Raw genomic sequence first — 23895 nt, 5'->3', positions numbered from 1 at the left:
GCAGAACAATTCGCAATTGTAAAAATATGGAACCAGCCCAAATGGCCATCAATCAATGAGTAGATAGATAAAGGAATTGTGATATATATATATATATATATATATACACACACACACACACACACACACACACACACACATATATACATACATACCATGGAATACTACTCAGCTATAAGAAGGAATGAAATAATGGAATTTGCAGCAACCTGGATGGAATTGGAGACCATTATTCTAAGTGAAGTAACTCAGGAATGGAAAACCAAACATCAGATGTTCTCACTCACAAGTGGGAGCTAAGATGTGAGGATGCAAAGGCATAAGAATGATACAATAGACTTTGGGGACTCAGGGGAAATGGTGGGAGAAGGGTGAGGGATAAAAGACTACACAGTGTATAGTGTACACTGCTCAGGTGATGGGTGCATAAAAATCTCAGAAATCACCGCTAGAAAACTTATTCATGTAACCAAACACCAACTGTTCCCCCCAAAGCTATTGAAATTAAAAACAAATTTTTTTAAAAAAGGAAGAAAGAAGCTGTCGAACTATGACAAGACATGGAGGAAGCTTAAATGCATATTACTAAATAAAAGAAGACAATCTGAAAAGGCTACACACTGTATGAATCCAACTATATGACATTATGAAAAAGGCAAAAATACAGAGACAGTAAAAAATAAATGGTTGCCAGGAGACAGAGAAGAGGGAGGGATAAATGGGTGGAGCACAGAGGACTTTTAGAACAGTCAAAGTATTCTGTATGATACTATGATGGTGTAATGGTAGATACATATCATTATACGTTTATCCAAACTGATAGGATGTATAATATGAAGGGTGAACCTAATGCCAGCAATGGACTTTGGGTGATAATGATGTGTGGGTTCATCTGTTGTAGAAAAAAAGACTGCTTTGATGGGAAATGTTAATAATTGGAGAGGCTATTGATGTGTGGGGTGAGGGAGTATTTGGGAAATCTCTGTGTCTTCCTCTTAATTTTGCTGTCAACCTAAAACTGCTCTTAAAATTCTTAATTTAAAAAAGAATAAAAAAGAAGTAAGCCATTTAAGTAAGTGGCAAACTCGTAAGTGGTAGCCTCAGTTTTTTCTGACTTAAAAGTCATCTTACTTTATTTTCAACATTTTTTATAAAGTGGTGTTGTTTTAACTTTTTCCCTGGTTTAAGCAAGTTTTTGAGAACCTAGTAAACTATAAGTAAGTTCTTAAAGAGTGTGAGTTACAGAAAGAACAGAGCAGAATCAGACCCCAAAACACCAAATTTATTGTAATTTTCAAGTACCAACAATATTTTTTTGAAAGGTTGAATATGTTTAAGTAAATGAAATAGGCAATCAAAAGTACCTGTACACCATGGAATACTATGCAGCCATAAAAAGGAATGAGATCATGTCCTTTGCAGGGCCATGAATGGATCTAGAATCCATTATCCTCAGCAAACTAATGCAGAAATAGAAAACCAAACACCATATGTTCTCACTTTTATGTGGGAACTGAACAATAAGAACACATGCACACGGGGAAGGAAATAACACATCCTGGGACCTGTTGGGGGGTAGAGTGGGGGGAGGGAGAGCATTAGGAAAAATAGGTAATGCATTCTGGGCTTAATACCTAGATGATGGGTTGATAGATGTAGCAAACCACCATGGCACACATTTACAAAAGCAACAAACCTGCACATCCTGCACATGTACCCTGGAACTTAAAATAAAGATTAAAAAAAAAATACAAGCCAGTAATAGAGAGCTGAAAGCATAAAAGTTTATGTTTGCTTTTTATTTTTCCACTTTGGTCTACAGTGGTTTTACTTTTATCTCTGTTCAAAGCCTGACATCAAGAAAAATGATTTTCCCTTTCTCAGCTTCACTTTATTAAAAATCAAAATCTTCAAATATATAAGTAAAAAAATATATAATACATTTTCATTTATCCATCAACAACATTCAGCAGTGGTCAAATTATAGCTACTCTTGCCTATCAATATCCACTCTTTCCACTTCTTCACTCTCCCTACAGGATTACTTTTATGTAAATTCTAGACATCATTTTAGTTCATCTGCAAATATTTCTGTATTTACCTCTAAAGGCATTCTTTAACAACGTATAACCACGATATCATTACCACACTTAAAAACTATTTCTATTTTCTTCAAATGTCTCATGCTACTTTACAATTTGTTTTCTTAAGGATCCAAATAAGATCCATACATTAAAGTTGTTTTTATGTCCCTTAAGTCTGTTTTTATCTATAGATTGCTCCTTTATCTCCCACCCGCCAATACACACCTTCTGTAATATATTTATTGCAGCAACTGGATCACTTATCCTATATAGTTTATAATAAACTAAATTTTACTGATTGCCTTTTTATGGTGTCATTCAACATGCTCCTGTATCTCCTGTAAATATTGCAAATTGGTTGTTAGAGCTAAAGGCTGATCTAATTGGTAATTAGATCCAAAGTTTGATTTTTTTTTCTGGCAGTAATATTTTATAGGTGGTATCATATACTTCTATGAAGAGGCGTGTCTGTTTGTCTCTCATTTTTTATGTTAGCAACAATTGATAACAACTGGCTAGATTCATTATTTCATTAGGGGTTGCAAAAATGGTAACATTTCAATTCTATCATTCTTTCTTCATTCTTTGGCTAAAGGTATCTTTAAAAAGGATTTTCTGTCATCAACATTTGGTTATCCTTAGACATAATCCATAAAGGAAAAACAGGATAAATGCTCAATTCTTCTCTTTAATTCAAAACTGTACATTCTTATGGATCCCTAACATTCTTCAAAGCTGTCCAATGACAACATTATTTTTAAATTAACATTATTAGGAACAGATAGATTTAAGCATATTTGAGGCATTTTAATCTACTGCCTTTGATTTTCTTATTGATTCTCAAATTTTTACCTTTGGCCAATGGTAACCTCTTCAGGGTGACTCCTCTGAGTCTCTTTGATGCATCCTAATAGTCTTTCAAATCTGCCTTGCTTTTTAGTAAGAGAATTTGATATTCCAGGCCCATCTTGTACAATATTCAAACCCCAAGCTGGAATTAGATACTTGTTTGCAATGAACTTCAACTCCTTTTAGGGGAAATGTCTACAGAGCACATCTGAGTTACATTTCCTCTTGATATTGAGTTTTATGTTGTTTCTATATACTTTTAAGTGATTAGAACTAGGAAACTATTTTTTTCTTTTTGTTGGGAAAATGCTTCATGACTTCATACTGATACTTTAACTTCAAACTCATATTAATGGGTTTTCATTTATTTTCTTCTACTTGCTATTATATCTTCTTTACCCCATGGGACAAATCCCATTTACAATAATGTCAACAAGCTTACTAACTTGCTTGATCTTAAAATATGTACACACCTGTCTCACAATAACAATTCAATTGCAAAAAAATATAATTTTAAAACAGTTCAATATATATTTTTGCATGTTTTTTTGTCCTTAGGATATCTTATAAAGGTTGTATAGTCAAATATCTGTGTTTGAGTAACTGACACAATTCATCTCTGTGTGATTATAATGCAAACTTAATATATTTATATTTATATTTCACCTCTTTTATCAAACTTTTCTGTTATGGGTATTGGTGTTTTAAAATTTAATTTTAAATAATGATATAATTATGTAAAATATCAAATGTTACCAGGGTCAAACCTAAAACAGGTATATTCAAATAAAATGTAGCTTTTGTTTCTATAACCTTTTCCCCATTGCATTCCTCCTCCAGAAGCAATTGTTTTCTATTATAGTTTTGTTTTGCTTTTAGTTTTTGGTTTATTTTTTCATTTTTTAAAGATAAGTCAATACATTACAGTATATTAAAAATTATCACTAATTACATCATTTGCAGTTCCTCCCATCGAAGGTGAATAATCTATATCTTTACCCCTTTAAATGAAGCTGGCATTGTGGGATTCTTTTATCAACAGAATGCAGCAGAAGTAACATTGTGGTATTTCTAAGTCTTTGCCTCAGAAGACCTTGCAGCTTTTGCTTTTATTGGAACCTGAGGCAACAATGAAAAACCGTGTGGAGAGAGATCCAGCTGTCCCACGTCTTCTAGGCATTCCAGGTGGGGCTCATCCATGTGAGTGAAGCCAGGATGTTAGATATCAATAGCCATAGGACTCTGCACAGATAAGAACAGGAGACAAACCACCCAGTCAACCCACAGTCACATTAAATTAATAAATCATTCTTTTAAGACACTAAATTTGGAAGTATTTATGTTTTATAAAGCAATGTATAATCCTCAATATATTATACTCACTTAACTTCATAATTTTAAAAAATTTTTTACTATTGTCTGAATATTACTTGATAACAATATATAGAAATATGCATCATTCTTTTATAAAGCTGCACAATACGTCATCATGGGCTTCCCACACTAGGAAACTTTCCTTTACTGATGGCACTTGGTCTGTTTCCATTCTTTCACCAGTACAATAATGGTTCAGAGAAAAGAGTTGTGCATATGTCTTTTTTACATTTTTTTAACATGGCTATTTTGATAAAGAATAAAATAGAACTTATAGAAATAAGACACAAACCAATTAAAATTAAAAATTGCTATGACTTAAGTAAACGCTTTTGAAGACAGACTGGTAAATTGAGATATAAATCTGTAAAATTATCCAGAATGCAGCAAAGAGCCAAAAAAAATGGAAAAGAAGAAAGAAAGGACAAAAAATAGGTTAAAAAGTGACATTGGTGATGGGAGTTAAAGAAGGAGATAAGAATAGGGGGAAAAACAGTATTTGAAGAGTTTGTGCCTGAAAATATTTAAAACTGATGAAAGATAGAAATTATAGGAGTTAGTACACAAATACTTGTAGTTAAATTAAAAGAAGTCCTTGCTAGGTACGTTATAATAGAATTGTAGACACCAAAAACAAAGAAGATCTTTAAAAAGGCTGAAAGAAAAGAAGATTACCTACAAAAGAACCAAATTTATCCTGACAGCTGCCTTCCCAATAGCAATACTGGAAACTAGAAGCAAAGTGAATAATGTATTCAAAGAGATGGCAAAAAATAACTGTCAAGCTAAAACTGTACACCCAGAAAAAACTGTCCTTCCAAAGTGAAGGCAAAATAAAAATATTTTCAAGTAAAAAAGAAATCCTGAGAAATTTTACCACCAACAGACTCTCATGAATAAAGTCTAAAAAATGTACTTTGAGAAAAGAGAAAATGATCCAGAGAAACGGTCTAATGTAAAAGGGGCAATGACAAGCAAAAAATAAGTGTAAACATGTAAGTAAGTATGTCAATATGAATGTGTATAAAAATAATAGTAACAAAATTTGTAGGACTATAAAAACAAAATCATACTAAAATAGCAGAGAAAAATAGAATGATATTTGTGAAATTGCTTTTTTAAGTTAAAGCCTTCTAAACTAATTGTTTTGATAAAAAGAAGGGTAAAGATATTGATTAGTTTTAGAATTAACTGTGCATATTAAAAGGAGTAGTAACTAAAAGCATAAAACAAAATACATAGCATGAAAATAGAATACATAATTTTCAAATAGCTAGAAAAATGGAATCAAAGCAACTATTTAATCTCAAACAATAAAGAGGAAAAATGAAACAGAAAATGTAGTACAAATAGAGTCCAAAGAAGATAAGATAAAATTAAGGAGCCTAAATAATTCAAATGAATTAAGCTTACAAATTAAAAGAAAAACATATTCCAAAAACTTAAATTTCTGTCTCTATGTTGCTTAAAAAAAGACACATATACATTATAAAAACAGAAAAAGCTAAAAACTAAAGACTGAGAAATTATATAAGAGGTGAATACTAACGAAAGTGAAGCTATTGTTGCTTCTAGATAAATTAAAACTAGGGCAAAAGGCATTAATGAAGAATGCAATTTACTAAAATGATATATTAAAATCTTTTGGCACAAAATAATATTGCTTCAAGATCCATAATGAGAAAGTTGAAAGAAGTATGTAGCAAAATTGATAAATTCACCACCATAATGAATCTCACTAATTAGTACATCAATCAAATAAAAAAGAGATCAGCTGAGACAGAAAAGATCTGAACCACAAAATTAACAAGCATGGTCAATGGACTTCTACAGAATCATGTACACAACATTAAAAAATATATTCTTCTGCATAAAGGGAATTTTTTTATATACTTTAAGTTCTGGGATACATGGGCAGAACATGCAGGTTTGTTACATAGGTATACATGTGCCATGGTGGTTTGCTGCACCCATCAAGCCGTCATCTACATTAGGTATTTCTCCTAATGCTATCCCTTCTCTAGCCCTCCAACCTCTGACAGGCCCCAGTATATGACATTCCCCTCCATGTGTCCATGTGTACTCATTGTTCAACTACCACTTATGAGTGAGAACATGCAGTGTTTCGTTTTCTGTTCCTGTGTTAGTTTGCTGAGAATGATGGTTTCCAGCTTCATCCATGTCCCTGCAAAGGAAATGAACTCATCCTTTTTTATGGCTGCCTAGTGTTCCATGGTGTTTATGTGCCACATTTTCTTTATCCAGTCTATCATTGATAGACATTTGGGTTGGTTTCAAGTCTTTGCTATTGTGAATACTGCTGCAATAAACATATATGTGCATGGGACTTTATAGTAGAATGGTTTATAATCTTTTCGGTGTATAACCAATAATGGGATTGCTGGGTCAAATGATATTTCTAGTTCTAGATCCTTGAGGAATTGCCACACTGCCTTCCACAATAGTTGAACTAATTTGCAGTCCCACCAACAGTGTAAAAGCATTCCTATTTCTCCACATCCTCTCCAGCATCTGTTGTTTCTTGACTTTTTAATGATCACCATTCTAAGTGGCATGAGATGGCATCTCATTATGGTTTCAATTTCCATTTCTCTAATGACTAGTGATGATGAGCTTTTTTTCATATGTTTTTTGGCCACATAAATGTCTTCTTTTGAAAAATGTCTGTTCATATCCTCTGCCCACTTTTTGATGGGGTTGTTTGTTTCTTGTAAATTTGTTTAAGTTCCTTGTAGATTCTGGATATTAGCCCTTTGTCAGATGAGTAGATTGAAAAAATTTTCTCCCATTCTGTAGGTTGCCTGTTCACTCTGATGATAGTTTTTTTTTGCTGTGCAGAAGCTCTTTAGTTTAATTACATCCCATCTGTCAATTTTGGCTTTTGTTGCCATTGCTTTTGGTGTTTTAGTCATGAAGTCTTTGCCCATGCCTATGTCCTGAATGGTATTTCCTAGGTTTTCTTCTAGGGTTTTTATGGTTTTAGATCTTACGTTTAAGTCTTTAATCCATCGTGAGTTAATTTATGTATAAGGTGTAAGAAAGGGGTTCAGTTTTAGTTTTCTGCATATGGCTAGCCAGTTTTCCCAACACCATGTATTAAATAGGGAATCCTTTCCCCATTGCTTGTTTTTGCCAGGTTTGTCAAAGATCAGATGGTTGTAGATGTGTGGCATTATTTCTGAGGCCTCTGTTCTGTTCCATTGGTCTATGTATCTGTTTGGGTTCCAGTACCATGCTGTTTTGGTTACTGTAGCCTGTAGTATAGTTTGAAGACAGGTAGTGTGATACCTCCAGCTTTGTTCTTTTTGCTTAGTATTGTCTTGGCTACACGTGCTCTTTTTTGGTGCCATATGAAGTTTAAAGTAGTTTTTTTCTAATTCGGTGAAGAAAGTCAATGGTAGCTTGATGGGGATAGCATTGAATCTATAAATTACTTTGGGTAGTAAGGCCATTTTCACAATATTGATTATTCCTATCCATGAGCATGGAATGTTTTTCCATTTGTTTGTGTCCTCTCTTATTTTCTTGAGCAGTGGTTTATAGTTCTTCTTGAAGAGGTCCTTCCCATCCCTTGTAAGTTGTATTCTTAGGTATTTTGTTCTCTTTGTAGCAATTGTGAATGGGAGTACACTCATGATTTGGCTCTCTGTCTATTATTGGTGTATAGGAATGCTTGTGATTTTTGCACAATGATTTTGTATCCTGAGACTTTGCTGAAGTTAGTTATCAGCCTAAGGAGATTTTGGAATGAGACGATGGGGTTTCCTAAATATACAATCATGTCATCTGCAAACAGACAATTTGACTTCCTCTCTTACTATTTGAATACCCTTTATGTCTTTCTCTTGCCTAAATGCTATGGCCAGAACATCCAATACTATTTTGAATAGGAGTGGTGAGAGAAGGGATCCTTGTCTTGTGCCAGTTTTCAAAGGGAACGCTTCCAGCTTTTGCCCATTCAGTATGATATTGGCTGTGGGTTTGTCATAAATAGCTCTTATTATTTTGAGATACATTCCATCAATACCTAGTTTATTTAGTGTTTTTAGCATGAAGGGGTATTTCCTGCATTTCCTAAATTTGAATGTTGGCCTGTCTTGCTAGGTTGGGGACATTGTTTTCCAAGTTGGTTCCATTCTGCCCATCACTTTCAGATACACCAATCAAATGTAGGTTTGGTCTTTTCACATATTCCCATATTTCTTGGAGGCTTTGTTTGTTCCTTTTCATTCTTTCTTCTCTAATCTTGTCTTCACGCTTTATTTCATTAAGTTGATCTTCAATTTCTGATATCAAGTGGAAGCACTTGATCAATTCAGCTATTGATACTTGTGTATGCTTCATGAATTTCTTGTGCTGTGTTTTTCAGCCCCATCAAGTCATTTATATTCTTCTCTAAACTGCTTATTCTAGTTAGCAGTTACTGTAACCTTTTATCAAGGTTCTTAGCTTCCTCACATTGGGTTAGAACATGCCCCTCTAGCTCAGAGAAGTTTGTTATTACCCACCTTCTGAAGCCTACTTCTGTCAATTCGTCAAACTCATTCTCCGTCCAGTTTTGTTCCCTTGTTGGCGAGGAGTTGTGATCTTTTGTAGAAGAGATATTCTGATTTTTGGAATTTTCAGTCTTATTGTTCTGGTTTTTCCTCATCTTCCTGAGATAAATCTACCTTTGATCTTTAATGTTGGTGACCCTCAGCTGGGGTTTTTGTGTGGACTTCCTTTTTGTTGATGTTGATGCTATTCCTTCCTGTTTGTTAGTTTTCCTTCTAACAGTCAGGTCTGCAGGTCTGTTGGAGTTTGTGGGAGGTCCACTTCAGACCCTGTTTGCCTAGGTATCACCAGCAGAAGCTGCAGAACAGCAAAGATTGCTGCCTGCTCCCTCCTCTGGAAGCTTCATCCCAGAGGGGCACCCGCCAGATGCCCACTGGAGCTCTCCCGTATGAGGTGTCTGTTGACCCTTGCTCAAGGTGTCTCCCAGTCAGGAGGCACTGGGGTCTGGGACCCACTTGAGGAGGCAGTCTGTCCCTTAGCAGAGATCGAGTGCTGTGCTGAGAGATCTGCTGTTCTCTTCAGAGCCAGCAAGCAGGAACATTTAAGTCTGCTGAAGCTGTGCCCACAGCCACCCCTTCCCTCAGGTGCTCTGTCCCAGGGAGATGGGAGTTTTATCTATAAGCTCCTGACTGAGGCTGCTGCCTTTCTTTCAGAGATGACCTGCCCAGAGAGGAGGAATCTAGAGAGGCAGTCTGGCTCGCTTCTGCATAAAGGGAAATTTATGGAAATTGCCCATATACTAAGCCATGAAACAAATGATACGCATACCTACAGCAACAGAACTGAAAAAAAAAAATAGGCCATGTTTTCTAAGCACAATGCAACCACTTATAATATAACAAAAAAAAACACAAAACCCTAGGTTTCCTAAATTACACTTAAAAAAAAAAACACTTCACGGAAGAAATTATAATGAAAACTAGAAAGTACTTAAAAGGGAATAAAAATAAAAATACCGTATACTAAAAATTCATTAACATAGTTAAAGTTGTCTTCTCGGACTTTTGGCTAAGATCAAGTGTAAAATAAAAATTTAGTTTTCAAGCTTATATTTGAAAACTTAAAAAACTAAAAAATGATGAGGTATGCATCCAATTTAAAAAGTCAAAGTAACAGAATAATCCCAAATCAGGGGAGATAAGGGATTTTTTTTAAATAACAGGAATTAATGAGATAGATAAAAACACACAGGACAACAGAAAGGCTTGATAAAGTGAAAAGTTTGTTCTTTGAAACAAATTATCTCTGGCAAGATGAACTGGGTGAAAAAAATAATAAAAGGCACAAATAAACAATACTAGAAATTAACAACAAATTAACTAGAGATACACACAGCAGAGATTATAGATGTATGTGTGTGAGTGTGTACGTGTGTGTATGTGCATGAAATAAGCAAGTACTTTTGCCAAAAATTTTTAAATGTTAGATAAAATGGGAAAATTCCTAGAAAAAATATAACTTAACAAAGCTGAAGAGAAACTGCAAATCAAAATGGTCCATAAACATCAAAGATATGAATCAGGAATTAATGTTTTCACAAATAAAAGATCAGGTCCAGATAATTTTATTGAATTACCAAGAAACAATTCTAACTGTATATAAATCTTTCCAGAAAACAGAAGTAGAGGAGATGCACTCAAAGGAATTTTAGGAAGGAGGTATAAAATTTTTCCCAAAATTAAATATGGAAAACAGGATATTTACTTATGAACATAGATACAGAAGTGTGTGTGTGTGTGTGTGTGTATGTGTGTATGTGCACACACGTGTGACCAACTGTGCATTAATTTCAGGAATGAAATGTTAATGTGAGAAAAACAGATTAATTTAAATCACCACTTTAGCAAGTTAAAGATGACAAAGTGGTACAGCATAAAGAGAATATTTAATAACACTGTATACTGAAAGTTTGCTAAGAGAATAGACTTTATGTGCTCTTACCACACACACAAAAAGGGTAATTATGCAAGGCAATGAATAGGTTAATTTGCTTCACGGTAGTGTAATAATTTCATTATGTATATGTATATCAAAACATCATGTGATATACCTTAAATATATACAAAAATAAAATAAAGATGACAAGATGATTCATCGAGAAGATGCAGAAAGTGGCCAGGTGCAGTGGCTCACACCTGTAATCCTAGCACTTTGGGAAGCCAAGGTGGGTGGATCATTGAGTTTGAGACAAGCCTGACCAACATGGCAAAACCTCCCCTCTACTAAAAATACAAAAAAATTAGCCGGACATGGTGGCAGGTGCCTGTAATCCCAGCTACTTATGAGGCTGAGGCAGGTAAATCACTTGAACCCAGGAGACAGAGGTTGCAGTGAGCCAAGATCATGCCGCTGCACTCCAGCCTGGGCAAAAGAGTGAGACTCTGTCTCAAAAAAAAAAAAAAAAAAAAAAAAAAGAAAGAAAAGAAAAGAAAAGATGCAGAAAGAGGGTTCAACAGTATTTTACACCTACTTACCTACTTATAATTAAATTATAATATAATTAAATATAATTTCCCACCTATTTATACCCAAAAGATACCTCTTGGTAAACTAATAATAGGAAAAAATTTATTTTCCCTTTTGCAGGTAATCTACCACAGCTTTACATCAGTCAACAAACTTTCTCTAAATCAGGAAGAAGTAAGGACTCCAGCTGTTACAGCCCCTTTTCAACACTGTACCTGAGGCCACAGCCAGAATGGTCAGGATTGAAAAACAAAGAAGCAAAAGCAACTACTGGTCTCAGAAGTCCACTTAGAAAGCAAACAGAATCTGTACCCAAGTTATTGGAATTAGCAGTAGAGTTTAGCGGAGCTACAAGACAAAAATTCAATGTACAAATAGTGATTGCATTTCTGTCATGATTATCCTAGTCCATTAGTACTGCTATAACAGAATACCTTAGACTGGGTAATTTACAAATAACAGGACTTTATTGCTCACAGTTCTGGAGGCCAGGAAGTCCACCATCAAGTTTTTGGCAGATTTTGTGTCTAGTAAGGGCTTGCTCTCTGGTGCCTTCTTGCTGAGTTCTCACATAGCAGAACAGAGGAGGGAGGCAGCTAGCTCTCTGAAACCTTTTATAAGGGCATAAATCCCATTCATAAGAATGGAGCCCTCACGACCTAATCACCTCCCAGAAGTCACACTTTCTAATACCATCACTTTGATGATTAGGTTTCAACATATGAATTTTGAAGGGATGCACACATTCAAACCATAGCAATAGGAATACAGAGTTAGAAAATATTCAAACTAATAACAAAATATAACATTTGTAGTACATATCTAAAAAAATGACATTTAGGGAGAAAATGATAAATGTTTTTAAAATATCAAACAAGAAAAGGAGATACTATGTTCATAGATAGGAAAATTTAGTATTGTAATGTTAAATTTTTCAAATTAATTTTAAAAATCAATGTAATTCTAGTTAAATTACAGCAGAGTATGACATTGACAAGAATGACATTGAAAGCAAACAAAAGAAACAGAACTGAGAACCTAAAAATATGTCGGGAAACTTGACATACAACAGAGTTGACATTGTAAATCAGTAGAGGAATTCGAGATAATTTAACAAATGATACTGATACACTTGATCATCCCCATGGAAAAACAAATTGGATCAAATCTTTCGTGACACAAAAGTCAATTCCAGGTGGAATAAAAATTTAAATTTGAGATGGCATTTTAAATGTTTCATATGGTTGATTAAAAATGATTATGTGGGGAGTTGAAAATGTGTAAATTTAACAATTATAATTCTGATGTTATGGTCTACAATAATTGTTGCATATGTGTACCAGGAAATACATAAGATAATGTTTATACCAGTATTGTCTATAATTATACAAAATAAAAACATTCTAAATGTTCTTTACCAGGAGCACAGATAAATAAATAATATGTGAATGTGTGTTGCAATATAGCCACAAAAATTAAAAGGAAGGTACATGACCTTTGTGCATGAACGTGAAAGAACTCCACAACTCAGGATAGTGGTGACCTGCTGCAGAAGTACTCAGTCACAAAGGGGATGCACAGAGCTTTGAAGGCTAGTTGTGATTTCTCACGTTGAGCAGTATGCAAACAAAGGCTCTGGAAAGTAATTGTGTACCTTCTGTACATGTAATATATTCACTTTTATGTATGAGATAGTTTACAAGTCTAAAATTATAATAATTTTAAAAGAAGAAAAGGATTACAAAGGATATTTACATTATATTTTATATATAATTGGAGGTGGTTTACCAAACCCTCTGTTTTTGTTGTTGTTGTTGCTTGTCTGTTTTGTTTTTTGGCTTTTGGGTTTTTCGAGACACAGTCTCGCTCTGTTGCCCAGACTGGAGTGCGGTGGCACGATCTTGGCTCACTGCAACCTCTGCCTCCCGGGTTCAAGCAATTCTCCCTGCCTTAGCCTCCTGAGAACTGCAATTACAAGCACCCACCAATATGCCCAGCTAATTTTTGTATTTTTAGTAGAGACAGGGTTTCGTCACGTTGGCCAGGCTGGTCTCAAACTCCTGACTTCAGGTGATCCGCCCACCTCAGCCTCCCAAAGTGCTAGGATTACAGGCGTGAACCACCGCACCTGGCCACTGAACCCTCTTAAATTCTATGTTAGGAGCCCCTCCTAGAAAAAGTTTAACCTCCTATATTTTTAGAGCCAGAGATGTAACCAAGCTCTCATAAACCAAAAGTTAGGTCAGGCCCAATCCCAGAGAGGGAATCAACTTAGGCAATCGCTGAATCAAGTTCAAGAAAAATCAAGAAAAATGAAAACTAAAAACAGTTAGCTCATTTACTTAGCATTGTACAAACCACAGTTCCTAGACGTTGGTGATGGTAATCCAGTTTTCATTTTCTAGAATTCTTGAGATCACTGGTAGTGCAAATGCACATTGAGGGTACAGAGGAACATTCAGGAGTGATGCTTCAGTGATCTGCCTAGGGGTAAGGAGTTGTTACAAGTATTACAGTTTGCTGGAACTCACAGTTCTTTTTGGCACTAGGTACTTTGACATATTTAAAGATGAAGCCAGGGCAGTCAGAGATAAGGTCTCTGACTTATCATTAGATTAAAATATGAAAGATCTGAAGATATGAAATTATACTAGTAGGTTCAATCTGCTTTTTGAACAATGACCTTCACTTTCTCATACCCTAAGTATGAGAAAATATTTACTAATAATATTAGCTTTAGACCATTTTAATATTGTATATCTATACCAAAAGTGTCAAACCAAACTAGTATACACACTGAGACAACTTAGGGTTTTACATATGGGACATGATGAAAAGAATCAAAAAGAGAGTAACTGGCTTATATTTAAAATATCAATGGAAATAAATTCCCTGAGAAGCTGAGCTTATTATATATTTTAATGAATTTGAAGCCTACTAAGAGGGCCTGATATTCGTCTCCTTACTCTTACATCTGGAAATGTGGTCATTTAGGACAGAATCATAGATAAGATACCTCTGGATGTAAATCTCACTTTCGTAGGAACCCTAGGTATCCAAGGGGAAATATTAAGAAAAAAGATTCACAGGTAAGCAGTAGGGCTCCAAATGAGGGGATAAAAGCCACTGAAGGGAACGGGTGAAAGGCAGACCTTCTGCAAACCCCCATATTGTGCAGTCATGGCCATGTTGCACATAGTGGGCAGATTTCTATTCTGTGTTTTAACACTTTTAGATGTAGGGCGTGATGCTGTAACTTTTATCTGGTCAACGATTTTCCTCACTATTTACTCTCCCTCTCTTTCTTCTATGCTCTAATATCGCAGATCCCAAGAAAAATATTTGGCAAGTTGTTCCAAGTTGTTGAAATAGTTGGCAAAACAAATCCCTAAGAAATTGAAACTTCCTAATCTGATCAAATAAAATGTTGAATACGGCTTACTGTCAAGATGAGTTACAGCCTTTAGAAACTAAAAGAAGAATTCATGAAGAAACGCTGAAAATTTTCTACACAGAACATTGCATTTTATTAACAAGTTTAAAACATAAGCCTAGCAAACCACAGGAGAGATCTTTTTCTTAATTCAACTTTGTTAACTTTGTTTGATTCAAAGCATCAATATTTATGGGGCAGAAATTTCCAATTGTCTCTTAAAAATTGGGTTTTTTGTTATATAAGAGAGATTATGCCATGAAGATAGTTTAGTAAAGAACCATTCTTCACACATTTTCATGCAGCATTTCTGTTTACTCAATAGCTATTATATTCACCCAGTAGCATCCCTGGCTTGGAGTTATTGTTGGGGAAAACAAATGGGACTGTTTTCATACTCTGAGAAGATGTTTTTGAGCAGATACATGCCGAGATGCTTGCAAATTAGAAGGTGGACACCTTGGGTGAACTACAAGGAGAAATCATTCCAATCAAATAAAATAGGGCTTGAGAGAAGGATGAGGAGAATAGAAATTTGGTGAAAGACAGAAAAGGAGAAAGAGAGTGAATGAAGGCCTGAAAAGAGATTTGAACAGACACTTTACCAAGGAAGATATATGGATGACAAAATAACATCAAGAGATGCTCACCATTATTAGTCATCGGGGAAATGCCAATATAAACCAAAATAAGTTACTACAATGTATCCACAGGATGCTTAAAAGAAAAAATTGAATGTTGGTAAGGATGTGGAGCAACTAGATTTCTTATACGCTGCTGATAGGAATATAAAATGATGTAGTCGTTAGCTTTAGACTTTGAAAAATACTCTCAAGTTTATTGTGGAATTAGACACATGGACTCAGTAATTCCACTCATAGGTATGCACTTAAGAGAAATGAAAACATACATCCATAGAAAGAATTGTACACCTCGAATTGTACAACTTCAGAAATGTTCATAGCAACATTATTTAGAATGGGGAACAACCCAAATGGCCATGAGAAAGTCAATGAATAAACTGATTCAAACAATGGAACATGACTAATTAATGAAATGGAATGAACTACTGGTACAAGCAAAATCATGGATATATCTCAAAACATTCTGGAAGCCAGATACAAAACAGTAGATACTGCATGATTCCATTTATATGAAACTCTAGAAAGTGCAAACTAATCTGTACAGACATAAAGTAGATCAGTGGTTGCCTAGGACTGGGGAAAGGGGTATTGACTGAAAACTTTTGGAGTGATGAAAATATTATGAATCTTGATTGGAGAAGCAGTTACATAAATGTTTACATTTGTTCAAAATCATCCAATGTTATATTTTAAATGGATTATATTTTAAATAATTTGAATTACAGTGAATGTGAATTTTACCTCAGGAAAAAAAAAAAATTTAAACACATACACAGACAGGGTACCTTGAGAAGAATGAAAAACATGGTGAAGGAATTAGAAGACAACAAGCTTTTTTAGTCTTAGAAAATATGTCAGAGTTAGTACTAGATATAAAAATTGTCATACTGGGCCAGGCGTGGTGGCTCACGCCTGTAATCCCAGCACTTTCGGAGGCTGAGGTGGGCAGATCTTCCGAGGTCAGGAGTTCAAAACCATCCTGGCCAACATGGTGAAACCCCGTCTTTATTAAAAATACAAAAAAAAAATTACCCAGGCATAGTGGTGTGTGCCTGTAATCCCAGCTTCTCGGGAGGCTGAGGTAGGAGAATTGCTTGAGCCGGGGAGGCGGAGTTTGCAGTGAGCCAAGATCGCACCACTGCACTCCAGCCTGGGTGACAGACCGAGACTTTGTCTCAAAAAAAAAAAAAAAAAAAAAAAGTCATTCTGAAAAACGACCCGTTGGGTCCTATGCTTACCACCTGAACCTCAGCATCACACAACATACCTTTGTAACTGACCTGTGTACCCCCGGATTTTAAAATAAAAGTTCAAAAAGAGTGAACAAAACAAAATCAGGGAAACTATTACAAGTTCAAAAAGTTAAGAGAAATCCTAACCAAATGCATTTTTGGACTTGTTTAGATTTTGTTATGTGTGAAAATGGCATCACAGTAATTTTTAAATAAACAAAATTTTTCAAAAGCTACAAAATATAAAAAACAAAAATTGTCATAGCATTTTGGAAGGTTGGAAGGAAAAGAGGAAGCCAGGCCCTTAGCTGTGAATCAACCTGACAGGTCATTGACCATGCAGGTTTTTATCTGTGGTTGTTCTGATCAACAATTTTATCCATGACTTTGGTTCTTTCTGGTCTAATATTTTATGATTCTGTGTTCAGTGATAATGTTTTAACATGTGTTCATCAAACCTACAGAAAGCATATAGCTAAAAATGATAGCTAGCTAATACTTTGGATGACAGATTCAGGATTCAAAATCATTTTGACATATAAGAACACTGAACTGAAGCCAACCAGATAAAATTTTAAAGGACAAATCTCTTGAATTTAGGTTTAAAAATTCAATTGGGCAGATATTGTTGTGGAAAAATCTGGTTTTCTTTTTTAAAAAAACACCTATTTCCAGAAGGAGAAAAATTCTTTTTAATAGACTATATGTGTATATATGATTCCATCTATATAAAATTCTAGAAGATGCAAACTAATCTACAGTGACATAAAGATCAGTGGTTTGCTGGGGTCAGGGGTAGAGGATCTATTGACTGAAACGCGGTATCAGAGAACTTTTGCAGTGATATATATATACACAACTTATTGCAAGGTAAATGAGCCAATTGTCAAATGATTACTAAAAATCCCATTCAACATGAGACTACATGAAGAGAAGTAGACATCCAGAACATTGTAAAGAATAGCCTCACCTTGTTCTGCACTAGTCAGACCACATGTGAAATATTTTGTTCAATTATTAATGGCAGATTATAAGGAGAATACCTGAAAAGGAGACAGATCTGTTGAAAGATTCTCAAAAACATGTCAGAGATTAGAATACCAAAGTGAAGAAAGTCATAGTAGTTTCCAAATTTTGAAAGCACTGCAACATACAAGAGAAACAGTGCTCTGTGTTAAAGATTGGGGTTAATGTATATAAATCACAAAGAGGTAGAAATGAAAAAATTGAATACATCAATCAGTTCATAAAGGTATGAATGATCTCTTGATGTACAAGGTAGCCTTTCACTGAAACTGAGCAAAGTATGCATGATCGAATTACAGAGATGTCATATGGGAATCCTACTGTTAGATGAGAAGTGGGAATAGATGTCACTAACTATAGAATTGTAAAGGTGGAATTTGACTCAGTCTTAATAGTGGGAAATATTTGGAAAGGCAAAGAAACAGGACAGGGATGGGGTTGGTAGGTTGGGGAAAGAAACAGCATATATAATAACACAATGATGTGAAAATTAGGGCAAAAAATGTCAAATGTGCCTAGCACGTAAGAACCCAATCTGGCTAAAATGCAGTGCTGTTAAGGAAGAGCACCCAAATTAGCCTGGGAACATAAGAATAGCCTTGTGGCTGGGCACAGTGGCTGACGCCTGTAATCCCAACACTTTGGGAGGCCAAGGCAGGCAGATCACTTGAGGTAAGGAGTTTCCAGACCAGCCTGGCCAACATAGTGAAACCCCGTCCCTACTAAAAAATACAAAAATTGGCCGGGCATGGTGGTATGCACCTGTAATTTCAGCTACTCAGGAGGCTGAGGTGGGAGAATTGCTTGAACCTGGGAGGTGGAGTTTACAGTGAGCTGAAATCATGCCACTGCACTCCAGCCTGGGAGACAGAGCAAGACTGTCTCAGAAAAAAAAAGGAAAAATAAAAGCTTTGATATTAGGACAGGAGGTTTAATACCTGACTATACTGAGCCGAAAGCTAGAAACTGATACTTTCAAATACATTTTAGAGCAGAATGCCTTCCTTCTTAGTTCACACTGTTAATAAAGGGAGGTAATTAAGGGAAGACATTATTAGAGCTTGCCCATGAGATTAAGAGAATAAGACAGTTCTTTGAAGAAGAAAGAAAGGTAAAGTGGGGAGAGTGTTGCGGGAGAAAAGAAAGAATCGAATGGGTTTTGTATGTGTAAGAGAAAATTAAGAGGTGGAGGTCAGTGACAGCCTACTAAAGAAAAGGACAGTAGAAAATCAACACTGAACAATAACTGGAAGGGAATAACAAAGGGAAATGATCTCAGTAAAGGCCAATCTTTTGTGTTGATCCTATGTGCCCAACTGGCTCATAAAATGACCTAGGCACATGAGAAACTCCAAGCTGATATTTGTTCTCAGAAAGTCAGTATACAAACATGCCTGAGGTTCTTTTATTTGCTGTATTTGTGTTTCTCTATATTTGTTAAGATGGATGAATTCTCTGCTTCATTGAACACAGTAGTTAAAGCAAGTGAAAATTAAATGTTGACTTGGTCTGATTAAAGTATAAATCTAAATGCAGCTTTAAGAGACACAATCAGAAAGTGAGAAGAGAGATTCATTACGCATTTATATATAGAGAGAAATTTGGCTTCTAAATATCCTCACAATGGATTGGAAGTCATAAAGACAATAGATACAACAGTTTTACTTTAACCTACAGATTATCTCCTATGCATTTAAAACTCTAGAAGATGAAATTACCTCCAAACGAAATTAAATACTGAAAGCCTAACACAGAAGGCCAAAAAGTCCAATCTCTTTCTTTTGCCTTTTATATAAAGAAAAACATAAGAGTTTTAGTTAAACATCTATATATTTAAATGGCCAATGCACACTTGAACATATGTGAAATTTCAGTACTAGTCAAATAAATCTAAAGTAATGACATTGTCTATCTAACAAATTGGTAAAAATTAAGAAGATGAATAATATTTATTGGTAATGGAGAGTGACAAACTGAACATATCGTAGAATAAACTTTTCAACTTACCAAAGTACAATCTAATATACTGTGCATATTTTTTGATTCAGTAATTTTACTTCTAGGAAAATATTCTAAGCTAAATGAGGAATCTGTCTACAGAAGAAAATACAAATTTTCAAAGGAAGCATTGCATATTACAATGCTGCAGACAATTTAAATGCCTCCTAAGAGGGAATTGGATTGAATAAATTATAACATATTGATAATGTAAAATAGTAGAGAGCTGCTTCAAAGGAAGAATTCATCATTATGTATGATTATGTCATTATATATTAGATAAAAATGAGATTGAAATATATATACAAAATGCTATGCTACCCTATATATTTAGTATGTTTCAATTTAGGTAGATAATTAATCTCTTTATGAAAAAGTCTGAAATGGTATGTTTTTAATTGTTATATCTGGCTAGGATTATGTAGATGTTTTTACCTTCTATTCCATAAAGGTAGGCTTTAACTTTGGAATTACAAGCTTGTATTATTTTGTGATCAGCAGAATCAATTGAACAATTCGATCTAATAGACTTCAATATGCCCTAAGTGAAGTTGTAGCTGTACACACAGGTGGCTGAAGTAGAATATAGAGAAGGTTGTTGGAGTCGAAGAGTTTAATTACCTTTGAGGCTGGATAATTGGATGTGTCATCCTCATACATAATGATGAGAAGAGATTGAATGTAAAAAAAGATCAAATCCTATTGTAACTTTAACAATTTATAAAGTGATAGACAACAAGAAAAGACATAAGCAGTATTGAGTGGCATGGATCTCAAATGACAAAGGCTTTTGACATGACTTTGGAAAAGTGACAGTCAGGAAGGAGAAACAGGGAGCTGGGAGACTATCCACACAATTGTAAACCCTGTGGTTTAGGGAACCAGTAGCCTCCGAAGTTAGGGTTACTAGAGAGGTCTTGCTCTCAGGGGAGACCCAGTGTTCAGCAAAAGGTGGTGGAAGGGCCATGCAGGGAAGATGCTTCAATTTATATAACTTTTTATTGTGAATCTACCACATGCCAGTTGCTGCACCGATTCTTGAGTAACAATTTAATGCTTACAGAAATCACAAGGGAAAAGGTATGGACTGGATGAAAAAAAAGGAGAGAAGAAGAGAGTAAAATGAGGATAAAAGTTCATGACAAGACAGCTTGTCCATCCTTTCTTCTGGAAGGTGACTAAGGATGGTGATAACAAGGTTTCTATCAGAAGTGCAGCCTAGCAGGTTACAGGCACAAGTGCAATAATAAATGACAGTTTTGAAAATATACAATATTGAATATAGAGAGATGGAAAGGTCAAGGTATAAATATATCTTAAGAGCTAGAGAGGGTCGGAGGAGCCAAGATGGCCGAATAGGAACAGCTCCGGTCTACAGCTCCCAGCGAGAGCGATGCAGAAGACGGGTGATTTCTGCATTTCCATCTGAGGTACCGGGTTCATCTCACTAGGGAGTGCCAGACAGTGGGCGCAGGCCAGTGGGTGCGCACACCGTGCACGAGCCGAAGCAGGGTGAGGCATTGCCTCACCTGGGAAGCGCAAGGGGTCAGGGAGTTCCCTTTCCGAGTCAAAGAAAGGGGTGACTGACGCACCTGGAAAATCGGGTCACTCCCACCCGAATATTGCGCTTTTCAGACCAGCTTAAAAAACGGCACACCACGAGACTATATCCCACACCTGGCTCAGAGGGTCCTACGCCCACGGAGTCTCGCTGATTGCTAGCACAGCAGTCTGAGATCAAACTGCAAGGCGGCAGCGAGGCTGGGGGAGGGGCGCCCGCCATTGCCCAGGCTTGCTTAGGTAAACAAAGCAGCCTGGAAGCTCCAACTGGGTGGAGCCCACCACAGCTCAAGGAGGCCTGCCTGCCTCTGTAGGCTCCACCTCTGGGGGCAGGGCACAGACAAACAAAAAGACAGCAGTAACCTCTGCAGACTTAAATGTCCCTGTCTGACAGCTTTGAAGAGAGCAGTGGTTCTCCCAGCATGCAGCTGGAGATCTGAGAACGGGCAGACTGCCTCCTCAAGTGGGTCCCTGACCCCTGACCCCCGAGCAGCCTAACTGGGAGGCACCCCCCAGCAGGGGCACACTGACACCTCACACGGCAGGGTATTCCAACAGACCTGCAGCTGAGGGTCCTGTCTGCTAGAAGGAAAAATAACAAACAGAAAGGACATCCACACTGAAAACCCATCTGTACATCACCATCATCAAAGACCAAAAGTAGATAAAACCACAAAGATGGGGAAAAAACAGAACAGAAAAACTGGAAACTCTAAAACGCAGAGCGCCTCTCCTCCTCCAAAGGAACGCAGTTCCTCACCAGCAACGGAACAAAGCTGGATGGAGAATGATTTTGACGAGCTGAGAGAAGAAGGCTCCAGACGATCAAATTACTCTGAGCTACGGGAGGACATTCAAACCAAAGGCAAAGAAGTTGAAAACTTGGAAAAAAATTTAGAAGAATGTATAACTAGAATAACCAATACAGAGAAGTGCTTAAAGGAGCTGATGGAGCTGAAAACCAAGGCTCGAGAACTACGTGAAGAATGCAGAAGCCTCAGGAGCCGATGCGATCAACTGGAAGAAAGGGTATCAGCAATGGAAGATGAAATGAATGAAATGAAGCGAGAAGGGAAGTTTAGAGAAAAAAGAATAAAAAGAAATGCGCAAAGCCTCCAAGAAATATGGGACTATGTGAAAAGACCAAATCTACGTCTGATTGGTGTACCTGAAAGTGATGCGGAGAATGGAAGCAAGTTGGAAAACACTCTGCAGGATATTATCCAGGAGAACTTCCCCAACCTAGCAAGGCAGGCCAACGTTCAGATTCAGGAAATACAGAGAACGCCACAAAGATACTCCTCGAGAAGAGCAACTCCAAGACACATAATTGTCAGATTCACCAAAGTTGAAATGAAGGAAAAAATGTTAAGGGCAGCCAGAGAGAAAGGTCAGGTTACCCTCAAAGGGAAGCCCATCAGACTAATAGCGGATCTCTCGGCAGAAACCCTACAAGCCAGAAGAGAGTGGGGGCCAATATTCAACATTCTTAAAGAAAAGAATTTTCAACCCAGAATTTCATATCCAGCCAAACTAAGCTTCATAAGTGAAGGAGAAATAAAATACTTTACAGACAAGCAAATGCTGAGAGATTTTGTCACCACCAGGCCTGCCCTAAAAGAGCTCCTGAAGGAAACGCTAAACATGGAAAGGAACAACCGGTACCAGCCGCTGCAAAATCACGCCAAAATGTAAAGACCATCGAGACTAGGAAGACACTGCATCAACTAACGAGCAAAATCACCAGCTAACATCATAATGACAGGATCAAATTCACACATAACAATATTAACTTTAAATGTAAATGGACTAAATTCTCCAATTAAAAGACACAGACTGGCAAGTTGGATAAAGAGACAAGACCCATCAGTGTGCTGTATTCAGGAAACCCATCTCACGTGCAGAGACATACATAGGCTCAAAATAAAAGGATGGAGGAAGATCTACCAAGCAAATGGAAAACAAAAAAAGGCAAGGGTTGCAATCCTAGTCTCTGATAAAACAGACTTTAAACCAACAAAGATCAAAAGAGACAAAGAAGGCCATTACATAATGGTAAAGGGATCAATTCAACAAGAGGAGCTAACTATCCTAAATATATATGCACCCAATACAGGAGCACCCAGATTCATAAAGCAAGTCCTGAGTGACCTACAAAGAGACTTAGACTCCCACACATTAATAATGGGAGACTTTAACACCCCACTGTCAACATTAGACAGATCAACGAGACAGAAAGTCAACAAGGATACCCAGGAATTAAACTCAGCTCTGCACCAAGCGGACCTAATAGACATCTACAGAACTCTCCACCCCAAATCAACAGAATATACATTTTTTTCAGCACCACACCACACCTATTCCAAAATTGACCACATTGTTGGAAGTAAAGCTCTCCTCAGCAAATGTAAAAGAACAGAAATTATAACAAACTATCTCTCAGACCACAGTGCAATCAAACTAGAACTCAGGATTAAGAATCTCACTCAAAGCCGCTCAACTACATGGAAACTGAACAACCTGCTCCTGAATGACTACTGGGTACATAACGAAATGAAGGCAGAAATAAAGATGTTCTTTGAAACCAACGAGAACAAAGACACAACATACCAGAATCTCTGGGACGCATTCAAAGCAGTGTGTAGAGGGAAATT

At 36.3% G+C, this 23895-nt stretch overlaps 1 long non-coding RNA gene across 7 annotated transcripts in view; it reads right to left on the bottom strand.

Annotated features, from left to right (window-relative positions):
* Positions 1-1261: 1261 nt before the first annotated feature.
* The window catches only part of LOC105375523 (uncharacterized), a 459019-nt gene continuing 436385 nt past the window's right edge, over positions 1262-23895 (bottom strand). For all 7 annotated transcript variants that reach the window (NR_187960.1, NR_187957.1, NR_187964.1 and 4 more), the window contains one exon: positions 1262-4175. This is a non-coding gene — a long non-coding RNA (uncharacterized LOC105375523). The remainder of the gene's footprint in view (positions 4176-23895) is intronic.

Source organism: Homo sapiens, chromosome 7 (assembly GCF_000001405.40).
Source record: "Homo sapiens chromosome 7, GRCh38.p14 Primary Assembly".
Taxonomy (NCBI): Eukaryota; Metazoa; Chordata; class Mammalia; order Primates; family Hominidae; genus Homo; species Homo sapiens.
The sequence above is the reverse complement of the archived record's forward strand: the minus strand, read 5'-3'. Positions and strand labels throughout refer to the sequence as shown.